Genomic DNA, 12,437 nt, shown 5'->3' on the forward strand with positions numbered 1-12,437 from the left:
CCTTGCCCATGGCAAGACACCAACCACACTCCACTATCATTGCTTGTTGATGTGTCTGTGTCCCTAACTAGGACATGAGCCACCTGAGAGCAGAAACGGGATCTGTTCACCTCTGAACCTCTGAACAAATCCCCAGCACTTGGTTTAAAATATTAGTTGAATGAATGGCCTAAGGAAGAACAAGAACATTGGATTGTGTGCTGTATTAATTTCCCAGAGCTGCTGCAATAAAGTACCACAAAAGGTGTAGCTTTAAACAACAGAAATGTATTGTCTCATCGCTCTGGAGGCCAGAAGTCTGACATCAAGGTGCTGGGTGAGCCATGCTCCCTCTGAAGCTGCGAGGGAAGGGCCTGCTCCTGCCTCTCTCCTGCTTCTGGGAGCCCCGGGCACTCCTTGGTTTGTGGATGCATTTCTCCAATCCTTCACTTCTCATCGCCTTCTTGCTGTGTGTCTTTGCTTTATCTTCCTTATGTGCCTGTCGGTTTCGGTGTCCAAATTTCCCCTTTTAGCAAGGACATCAGTCACACTGGATTTGGACCCACCCTCATGGCTTCATTTTAATTTAATGACCCCTTAAAGACCCTATTTCCAAATACAGTCACATTCTAAGGCACTAGGACTTAAGACATCAACATACCTTTTGGAGGGGCACACAACTCAAGCCGTAACATTCTGGCCAAGATTGGGTAATTTTACTAAATCTTCATGGCAGTCCCACAAAGTCGGTACTATAATCTTCATTATTTGTAATATTAGGAAGCTGAAACTCAACAAAAGATTACAGGGTATTCATTGGTGAAGCCGGGTTTAGTACCCATGTAGGTGACTTCAACACTAGACAACCAGACCATCGTGGTGGAGACCAGCTGGGGCTTGAGTACAGATGGACCTCAGTTCAAGTCCTTCCTCTGCCACCTACAGACCATGAGACATCTGTTTCCTCGTCTGTTAAACAGAAATGATGACAAGACAATGGCCATATCATGTGCAGCACAGAGATTGACAAACATTGGCTCATATCATATCATTATATGGCTCTAACTAGGTCTTCCCAAGGAGTGGCCCTGGAGACAGTAGCGGAATTCAGTTAGAAATGAGGCCGCAGCCTCCAGCTTATCTCTGTGGAGGGTGAGACGTACAGAGCCCACCTGTCCTTTTGTGCATGTGGGGGCCATCTCTTTCCTTTCCCGCCCTCCCTCCTCCAGCGCTCTGTGCTCAGATATCATATTGTCAGAAGAGCAGGAATGGCAGGAGCAGCTGCCCAGCCCAGACCCCTCCCTGCTGCCGTAGCATTCCACACACTCTCTATACCTGCCCCTTTCTCTTCTTAGTCCCTATTGTCACTGTTTCATAACCACAAGTAACAATGGGGTGACCTTCATGCAACCACAAATTACAGAAAACCTTTAGAAGTCCTTTCAGTCAAAGGATACCTTAAGTAGGAGAACTGACCACCGAGACCTCTAAAATTCCCAAGAAAGAAAAACCCATACTTTCTTCGGTGGTATCTTTAGTAATAGCAATCGTACAGTCCTAAAATTGCATGTAACCCACGTCCTTATGCCTTTTTCTTTTCTTTCTTTTCCTGCTTTTCTTAAAGTGGTATAAACCTGAGGGCATGTTGCCGTGAAAACCAGAGAGGGGCTGAGTCTCAGCTCCATCATGTCCTGGCTGTGTGACCTTAGGCAAAGCTACTTAATTTTTTTATGTGTCAGCTTCCTCATCTGTAAAATGGGCTAGTAATTTCTGCCTCCCAGATTGTTGTGTGGAATATGTAACGTGCCAAGCTTGGTAAGGACTCAGTGGATATTATTCCCTCTTCCTTCCCTGAAGTCATTTTTAACTGCATGCATTAAAACAAGCACATATTTACATACAACATTAGAACAACTGTAAATATAGTCAAGAAGAAAATGTGGACTCTAAATTCACGGATGCAACTTGTATCTTAAAAAAATAGATCAGCTTGGGAAGATGAAAAAGTTCTGGAGATAGTGGTGATGGTTACACAATGTGAACGTGCCTAATGCCAGAGAACACTAAGAAATGCTTAAAAAGGGTAAATTTATGTTCTACATATTTTACCAAAATGTAAAGTACTGAAAATTGAAATATTTAAATTAAAATTGCTTTAACTGAAGAAAAAAAAAACAGTTCATTCTGAGCTTATTTTCCTTACTGGGCAAGGAAAAGAAAATGGATCCATGAATAATTAATACTTGAAGCCCTTCCCTATAATTTAATATTTTTTACAAAGCATTCACTATTGTATAAGCCTATTCAAATTTCTTTGATCCTGAAATGTTGACAGACATTGACACTATAATAAAAACTTATTCAAAAGCATTCTTTACATTTTCTCAAAATGCTTTTTTGTTTGTTTGTTTGTTTGTTTGTTTTTGAGAGGAGTCTCGCTAAGCCGCCCAGGCTGGAGGGCAGTGGCGCAATCTCAGCTCACTGCAACCACCATCTCCTGTGTTCAAGCAATTCTCCTGTCTCAGCCTCCCAAGTAGCTGGGATCACAGGCACCCACCATCATGCCCAGCTAATTTTTGCATTTTAGTGGAGACGGGGTTTCACCATGTTGGCCAGGCTGGTCTTGAACTCCTGACCTCAGGTGATCCGCCTGCCTCGGCCTCCCAAGGTGCCAGGATTACAGGCGTTAGCCACTGCGCCCGGCCCTGCTTTGTTTTTTAAAATTGTACACTTAAAATGGTTAAGATGGTAAATTTTATGTTATGTGTATTTTACCACATTTTAAAAAGTCTTTGTGGATTTTTTTATTTCAACCATTGATTAAGAAATGAAAACAGACATTCTGAAAAGAGAAGCTTTGGTGAAGGAAGTGTGAAGTCTTCTAGTAAATTGTTAGGTACTTTAATCACATCTTCTGCTCCTAATGGTCAGACTAGGCAAGGAAGGTCAAAAGGCCAGCCTGTCTGAATGCGCCTTCCGCTGTCTTGGGATCCAAGCCAGGTTTTCTGTCTTTTTTTCTTTGTCATTTTCCCCTGTAAGCCTCCCTTTTCAGTCAGTTTTCCAGTAGCTCTTTGACAGCTCAGCTGCCCCGTGAGCATCTGCCGCAGTAGCTTTTCTACACGATTAATCTACCTCCCTCACAGTTCCTGGGCAGCACAAGGTGATTTGCCTGCCATCTCCTCTTATGAAGGGGCCCGCAGGGCTACAAGCCTTCAGGTTTAGACAATAAATCCGGATTGCTTACACACAGCATTATGTTTGTATCCCTGGAAGATTAGATTTCTCTTAAACGTTTCCAATTTTTAGTCAGTGCCTCTATTCTGCCCTCTCCTTGTAGAAAACAGCTTACCAGACGGACTCTCATGCCAACACAGAGGCTGAAATCCACGTTAAGAGGGTAAATAGGAACTTGGCTGAGCCAGGCTCAGTCCCATGTGCTCCCAGGGCCCTCTTAGCTCTCCAAAATCACATGTATGGGGATCCTGCGGGCTGAAAGAGAAGAGGTGGGATGTCTAAGCAGCTATATGGCCCTGCACAGACAAAGGGTCACAGACAAGGGGAAAAGACCATGTTAGAAGGTGGTCTTCAGAGATGGCTTGCAAGACTGTGGATAAAGAGATAGACTATGCAAAGCGCTCAGCACAACACGTCACATCACACATCTACAGCAAATAAATACTCGGCAATGGGAACTATCACATGACCTGGGACGTACTTATATTCCAATAAGAATGTGTGTTGGGCTCAGCATTTAACCCAAAAATAGCATACCTTAATTAAGCATTTTATGATCCATGTACAGACCCAGTGGTCTTTCTTCACCGAGTTTAGGAAACGAGAATCAGAGGAGCCAGAATTTGTGTATCTGAAAGATGGGCCCACAGGAGAATTCCCGTCTGTTCACCAAGTGGAATTAAGGTTCTTGTTTTAATTCTGGGATCACTAAGCAGCCTTCCAGTTGTGACTTGGTTTCTCACATGAACTCCTGCCAAGGAGGAGGGCAGGTGCAGTGTCAAATCCTGGAGTCTTTCTATAAAATTGTGAGTGGGTTCAGGGTTGGAGTTCCAGTCCTGTCATCGATAAGCTGCCTAACTCTGAGTATGTGTTTTTACCTCTCTGGGTCTGTTTCTTGGACTAAATTATCTCAAAGTATCTCTTTGGCCCTAACATCCTGTAACTTTGAACATCCCAGTCCACTGTCAGTTACATATTTCACAGAAACTGTATGAACTCAGTATTCTCCTTTTATCAATTGGCCTGTCCTGAATTTGACTTAAATGACCGACTTCCTCTGATTCTGGTTATTCTAGGGAGAAATGATAAAAATTTAGTTTGTGGACTTATTAGCCTGAGAGGAAAGCCCCACCTCCTGGAAGGACACCCAAAATTGAGTCATTTTGTCTTTAAATTCTTCAAATACAAAAATCTCAGCCTCTTTTCCATCTGAAAAATAAAAGTGAAGCCAAACTTCAGTTTGCAAAGGATGATTGAGTATTCAAAAAATAACCTCATGAATTATACATTTGAGTAAGCACAAGTTATACTCTTCGTTTACTTTACATGTGTCACTAGGTTGCATATTTATACTACCAGTCAGGAAGAAGAAAATGTATTCTCTTTAGGTTTGGTCTGTTACTGGCTTGGTCTTCCTCCTGAGCTCCCACCTATCACGGGCAAAGGAAAGATAGTTAATATAGAGACTGGTTTTCAACCTTAGATGCAATAATTTAAATAGTCTCTTTGGTACTCATTTTTGGGGGAATGCTATCTCCATGCCCTTTTGCCATGCCCATTCCTTCCAAGGTGGTGTCTGGTACATGGGGGAGGAAGCCTCTCATGACCACATGATGGTGGGATGAAAGAGCGGGGGGACAGAGGACTATCCGCAGCTCCTTGCTTGCTTGTCTTGGCAGTATGGTAGTATAGTAGACTGGCAGTATAGTAGAGTTGACTTGATCTTGTCTGTTGAATCTGCCAGTCTGCTGATGATGTATGTGCATCACAAACCTGTGCCCATTCTTTCCCAATGGGCTTTCCATTGACTTTGTCTTCTCTCAGCTCCCACTGGTCAATAGACCACTGAGGCTGAGTACCGTGGCCCAGACTCTATGACTGAGCCCCTCATCTTACCACAGTCGGCCCTATGGTAGACTCACTGACTTTCCACTCAGCATTTATGCCATATAAGAATCAACATAGGGTTGAGAGTGTTAAGTAGACTCGTTCTGTATTCAACTGTCTCACACCACCATGTTGGATCACCCCTAAGTCCCTGCATACTGGCCTAAGTCCCTGCATAGCCTCTTCCCCAGTGTTCTAAATGGTAAACAGAGAAAGCATGCCCAACCCTTCTATCCATTCCTGTGTTCTCCTTGCTGTATCTGTCACAGTGGTGTGCTGGTAGTATGACAACAGGTTTTCTAGAAATTTATAGTGTTTTCCAGTTACCATGGTATAAATATTCCCACTATGTCCATCTCAAGATGCTAGCTATTTGAGGGGTCCATCCCAAGATGGCCGAATAGGAACAGCTCCGATCTGGAGCTCCCAGCATGATCGACAGAGAAGATGGGTGATTTCTGCATTTCCAAATGAGGTACCTGGTTCATCTTACTGGGACCGGTTGGACAGTGGGTGCAGCCCACAAAGGGCGAGCCAAAGCAGGGCCGGGGATCACCTCACCTGGGAAGCTCAAGGGGTCAAGGGATTTCCCTTTCCTAGCCAAGGGAAACCGTGATAGACTGTACCTGGAAAAACGGGACACTTCTGCCCCAATACTGCACTTTTCCCATGGTCTTAGCAACTGGCAGACAAGGAGATTCTCTCCGTGCCTGGCTCGGCAGGTCCCATGCCCATGGAGACTTGCTCACTGCTAGCGCAGCGGTCTGAGATCCACCTGCAAGGCTGCAGCCTGGCAGGGAGTGCGGGACGGGGGTGTCTGCCATTGCTGAGGCTTGAGTAGGTAAACAAAGTGGCGGGGAAGCTCAAACTGGGTAGAGCCCACTGCAGCTCAGCAAGGCCTATGGTCTCTATAGACTCCACCTTTGTGGGCAGGGCATAGCTGAACAAAAGGCAGCAGAAACTTCTTCAGACTTAAACACCCCTGTCTGACAGCTCTGAAGAGAGCAGTGGTTCTCCCGGTACAGTGTTTGAGCTCTGAGAACGGACAGACTGCCTCCTCAAGTTGGTCCCTGACCCATGTGTAGCCTAACTGGGAGACACCTCCCAGTAGGGGCCTACAGACACCTCATACAGGTGGCTGTCCCATCTGGAACAAAGCTTCCAGGGGAAGGATCAGGCAGTGATATTTGCTGTTCTGCAATATTTGCTGTTCTGCAGCCTCCACTTGTGATACCCAGGCAAACAGGGTCTGGAGTTGACCTCCAGCAAACTTCAACAGACCTGCAGCTGAGGGACCTGACTGTTAGAAGGAAAACTAACAAACAGAAAGGAATAGTATCAACATCAACAAAAAGGACATTCACACCAAAACCCCATTTGTAGGTTGCTAACATCAAAGAACAAAAGTAGATAAAACCACAAAGATGGGGAGAAACCAGAGAAGAAAAGCTGAAAATTCTGAAAACCAGAGCACCTCTTCTCCTCCAAAGGATTGCAGCTCCTCACCAGCAATGGAACAAAGTTGGACAGAGAATGACTTTGACAAGTTGACAGAAGTAGGCTTCAGAAGGTCGGTAATAACAAACTTCTCCGAGCTAAAGGAGCATGTTCTAACCCATCACAAGGAACCTAAAAACCTTGAAAAAAGATTAGATGAATGGCTAACTAGAATAAACAGTGTAGAGAAGACCTTAAATGACCTGATGGAGCTGAAAACCATGGCATGAGAACTTTGTGATGCATGCACAAGCCTCAATAGCTGATTCGATCAAGTGGAAGTAAGGATATCAGTGATTGAAGATCAAATTAATGAAATAAAGTGAGAAGACAAGTTTAGAGAAAAAGAATAAAAAGAAACAAAGAAAACCCCCAAGAAATATGAAACTATGTGAAAAGGCCAAATCTATGTTTGATTGGTGTACCTGAAAGTGACAGGGAGAATGGAACCAAGTTGGAAAACACTCTTCAGGATATTATCCAGGAGAACTTCCCCAATCTAGCAAGACAGGCCAACATTCAAATTCAGGAAATACAGAGAACACCACAAAGATACTCCTCGAGAAGAGCAACCCCAAGACACATAATTGTCAGATTCACCAAGGTTAAAATGAAGGAAAAAGTGTTAAGGGCAGCCAGAGAGAAAGGTCGGGTTACCCAAAAGGGAAGCCCATCAGACTAACAGTGGATCTCTTGGCAGAAACCCTACAAGCCAGAAAAGAGTGGGGGCCAATATTCAATATTCTTAAAGAAAAGAATTTTCAACCCAGAATTTCATATCCACCAAACTAAGCTTCATAAGTGAAGGAGAAATAAAATCCTTTACAGACAAGCAAATGCTGAGAGATTTTGTCGCCACCAGGCCTGCCTTAGAAGAGCTTCTGAAGGAAGCAGTAAACATGGAAAAGAACAACTGGTACCAGCCACTGCAAAAACATGCCAAATTGTAAAGACCATCAATGCTATGAAGAAATTGCATCAATTAACGGGCAAAATAACCAGCTAACATCATAATGACAGGATCAAATTCACACATAACAATATTAACCTTAAATGTAAATGGGCTAAACACCCCAATTAAAAGACACAGACTGGCAAATTGGATAGCGTCAAGACCCATCAGTGTGCTGTATTCAGGAGACCCATCTCACGTGCAGAGAGATGCACTTGATAAATAAAGGGGTGGAGGAAGATCTACCAAGCAAATGGAAAGCAAAAATAAAGCAGGGGTTGCAATTCTAGTCTCTGAGAAAACAGACTTTGAACCAACAAAGATCAAAAGAGACAAAGAAGGCCATTACATAATGGTAAAGGGATCAATTCAACAAGAAGAGCTAACTATCCTAAATATACATGCACCCAATACAGGAGCACCCAGATTCATAAAGCAAGTCCTTAGAGACTTACAAAGAGACTTAGACTCCCACACAATAATAATGGGAGACTTTAACACCCCACTGTCAATATTAGACAGATCAATGAGACAGAAGGTTGACAAAGTTATCCAGGACTTGAACTCAGCTTTGCACCAAGCAGACCTAATAGACATCTACAGAACTTGCCACCCCAAATCAAAAGAAAATACATTCTTCTCAGCACCACATCATACTTATTCTAAAACTGACCACATAATTGGAAGTAAAGCACTCCTCAGCAAATGTAAAAGAACAGAAATCACAACAAACTGTCTCTCAGACCACAGTGCAATCAAATTAGAACTCAGGATTAAGAAACTCACTCAAAACCACACAACTATGTGGAAACTGAACAACCTGCTCCTGAATGACTACTGGCTAAATAACGAAATGAAGACAGAAATAAAGATGTTCTTTGAAACCAATGAGAACAAAGACACAACATACCAGAATATCCAGGACACATTTAAAGCAGTGTGTAGAGGGAAATTTATAGCACTAAATGCCCACAAGAGAAAGAAGGAAAGATCTAAAATCGACACCCTAACATCACAATTAAAAGAACTAGAGAAGCAAGAGCAAACACATTCAAAAGCTAGCAGAAGGCAAGAAATAACTAAGATCAGAGCAAAACTGAAGGACATAAAGACACAAAAAAAACCCTTCAAAAAATCAATGAATCCAGGAGCTGGTTTTTTGAAAAGATCAACAAAATTGATAGATCACTAGCAAGACTAATAAAGAAGAAAAGAGAGAAGTATCAAATAGACACAATAGAAAATGATAAAGGGGATATCACCACTGATCCCACAGAAATACAAACTACCATCAGAGAATATTATAAACACCTCTACGCAAATAAACTAGAAAATCCAGAAGAAATGGATGGATTCCTGACAGATACACCCTCCCAAGACTAAACCAAGAAGAAGTTGAATCTCTGAATAGACCAGTAACAGGCTCTGAAATTGAGACAATAATTAATAGCCTACCAACAAAAAAAAAGTCCAGGACCAGATGGATTCACAGCCGAATTCTACCAGAGGTACAAAGAAGAGCTGGTATAATTCCTTCTGACTATTTCAATCAATAGAAAAAGAGGGACTCCTCCCTAACTTATTTTCTGAGGCCAGCATCATCCTGATACCAAAGCCTGGCAGAGACACAACAGAAAAAGAGAATTTTAGACCAATATCCCTGATGAACATCGATGCAAAAAGCCTCAATAAAATACTGGCAAACCGAATCCAGCAGCACATCAAAAAGCTTATCCACCATGATCAAGTGGGCTTCATCCCTGGGATGCAAGGCTGGTTCAACATATGCAAATCAATAAACATAATCCAGCATATAAACAGAACCAACGACAAAAACCACATGATTATCTCAATAGATGCAGAAAAGGCCTTTGACAAAATTCAACAACCCTTCATGCTAAAAACTCTCAATAAATTAGGTATTGATGGGACGTATCTCAAAATAATAAGAGCTATCTATGACAAACCCACAGCCAATATCATACTGAATGGGGAAAAACTGGAAGCATTCCCTTTGAAAATTGGCACAAGACAGGGATGCCCTCTCTCACCACTCCTATTCAACATAGTGTTGGAAGTTCTGGCCAGGGCAATCAGGCAGGAGAAGGAAATAAAGGGTATCCAATTAGGAAAAGAGTCAAATGATCCCTGTTTGTAGATGACATGATTGTATATCTAGAAAACCCCATCGTCTCAGCCCAAAAGCTCCTTAAGCTGATAAGCAACTTCAGCAAAGTCTCAGGATACAAAATCAATGTGCAAAAATCACAAGCATTCTTATACACCAATAAGACAAACAGAGAGCCAAATCATGAGTGAATTCCCATTCACAATTGCTTCAAAGAGAATAAAATACCTAGAAATCCAACTTACAAGGGATGTGAAGGACCTCTTCAAGGAGAACTACAAACCACTGCTCAAGGAAATAAAAGAGGATACAAGCAAATGGAAGAACATTCCATGCTCATGGGTTGGAAGAATCAATATCATGAAAATGGCCATACTGCCCAAGGCAATTTATAGATTCAATGCCATCCCCATCAAGCTACCAAAGACTTTCTTCACAGAATTGGAAAAAACTGCTTTAAGGTTCATATGGAACCAAAGAAGAGCCCGCATTGCCAAGTCAATCCTAAGCCAAAAGAACAAAGCTGGAGGCATCACGCTACCTGACTTCAAACTATATTGCAAGGCTACAGTAACCAAAACAGCATGGTACTGGTCTTCACCAGTTTCTAACAGAGGTTCTGGAACATAGTAGGTTCTCAATCAAGGTCTGTGGAATTGAATTTGGGTACCAGCAGTGCCTCTGGAAGGGGATTTTCTACCCCTCTACTTCTGCCTCCTTTCTCAGGTCCATGAAAACAACCTGCCATTGGTTATTCATCAACAATATGCTCCATGCTGGATCTTAAACTCCACCTTGGATCCAGGTTAATGACACTTGTACTGCTCTAAACTTCCATTGTGTGAACCACCAGATTTTCATCCTTTCTTCAGACTCGTGTGACTGAGTGCTGCTCCCACACATGACCACCCCCGACCTCACTCAGCATCTGTGGAGTTCAATTATATCAGGATCCACAATACCCTTGGGAAATCGATTTCCTCCCCCAAACTTCTGCCTCCTTCTTCTGACCCCCTAATAACCACCAGATACTGATAAAGTAAACCATGATTTCCTAGTTCACTTTACCACCCCTGCCCCATCTGTCTGTCTAGACCTTATCCCAAAAATACCTGATGTGCAAGCCACAGAGGAAATTTTTAATTTTCTAGTAGTCACATTTAAAAAAAAAGAAAAAGGTGAAATTAATTGTAATAGTACATTTTATTTCAATTATCTAAAATGTTATCATTTCAATATGTAATAAATAATTTTTAAAATTATTAGTAAGACATTTTACATTCTTGTTTTTCTCTAAGACTTCAAAATCCAGTCTGTATTTAATCCTTACAGCCCATCTCAATTTGGACTGGCTTCATTTCAAGTTTGTAACGGCCACTAGGAGCCAGTGGATATTGTATTGAATAGCACGTGACCAGAAATTAGGTATTAGTAGTAATAAAAATAATAATAGCTAATACTTACTGTGTACTTACAACATACCCAGCACGCTCCTGAGCCCTGGAGACTTTCTATGCATTCCAAAACTTACTTCTTACAGCAATCTCATAGGCTAGGGACTGTTATTAATCCCATATTGTAAACAAAGAAATAGCCTCACAGATTATGCACTTTCCCAAGCTGATACAAACTGTTGAGTGGCAGAGCCAAAGCTAGCAGACTGGTGGGTTTCCAGGCTCAGGCATTTATCACTCCTGTGACGCTGCTTCCTAACCTACAGAACAGTTACTAAACTTACGAAATTTCCACACATTGGGAATACATGCGAGGACTAAAAATGTGACGGATAGGCCGGGCGTGGTGGCTCACGCCTGTAATCCCAGCACTTTGGGAGGCCAAGGCGGGCGGATCACGAGGTCAGGAGATCAGACCATCCTGGCTGACAAGGTGAAACCCCGCCTCTACTAAAAATACAAAAAAAAATTAGCCGGGCGTGGTAGCGGACGCCATAGTCCCAGCTACTCGGGAGACTGAGGCAGGAGAATGGCGTGAACCCGGGATGCGGAGCTGGCAGTGAGCCGAGATCGTGCCTCTGCACTCCAGCCTGGGCAACTGAGCAAGACTCCGTCTCAAAAAAAAAAAATGTTATGGATAAAATAGCTGAAATGTTTCGAAGGCTAAATTCGTGTGTGTGTGTGTGTGTGTGTGTGTGTGTTGAGAAGGAGTCTCGCTCTGTCTCCCAGGCTTCAGTGCAGTGGCGTGATCTCGGCTCACCGCATCCTCCACCTCCCAGGTTCAGGTGATTCTCCTGCCTCAGCCTCGGGAGTAGCTGAGATTATACGTGCCCACCACCATGCCTGGCTAATTTTTGTATTTTTAGTAGAGATGGGGTTTCACCATGTTGGCCAGGCTGATCTGAAGCTCCTGACCTCAGGTGATTCGCCTGCCTCGGCCTCCCAAAGTGTTGGAATTACAGGTGTGAGCCACCATGCCCAGCCTAAATTCAGATTTTGAAAGTCATCAGAGAGGATAACCATATCCTTCCAGAAAATACCCCCCTGTGCCATAGCCAAAGAGGAAACCCAGCAAAGGGTAATATTTATTATGTTCTCGAGCTTTGAAAACTTCAAAAAGCATTCATTTAGAGAAAGTTAGTTTCCAACAGACTAGACAGACAATTAAAATCAAGCTGGTTTCCCCCTTGGTCCCTTCACTCAATAAACCCTGTTAGCCTCTGGAGCCAATGCTATTAGCCTGGAATGCGGTGGGGGGCGCTCTTAGCTGCTGTCTCATGTGCTGTTTTCAAAGACTTCTCCGTGA

General features: G+C 42.9%; 1 annotated feature.

Moving 5' to 3' along the window:
- Positions 11,619 to 12,118: an enhancer, noted in NCBI's record as "H3K4me1 hESC enhancer chr6:6674525-6675024 (GRCh37/hg19 assembly coordinates)". NCBI's record gives its function as "activates a minimal SCP1, AML or CMV promoter by ChIP-STARR-seq in primed H9 embryonic stem cells {active_cell/tissue: H9 hESC(primed)}" and the evidence as "EXISTENCE:reporter gene assay evidence [ECO:0000049][PMID:30033119]".

The sequence above is a fragment of the Homo sapiens genome, chromosome 6 (genome assembly GCF_000001405.40).
Source record: "Homo sapiens chromosome 6, GRCh38.p14 Primary Assembly".
Classification (NCBI taxonomy): Eukaryota; Metazoa; Chordata; class Mammalia; order Primates; family Hominidae; genus Homo; species Homo sapiens.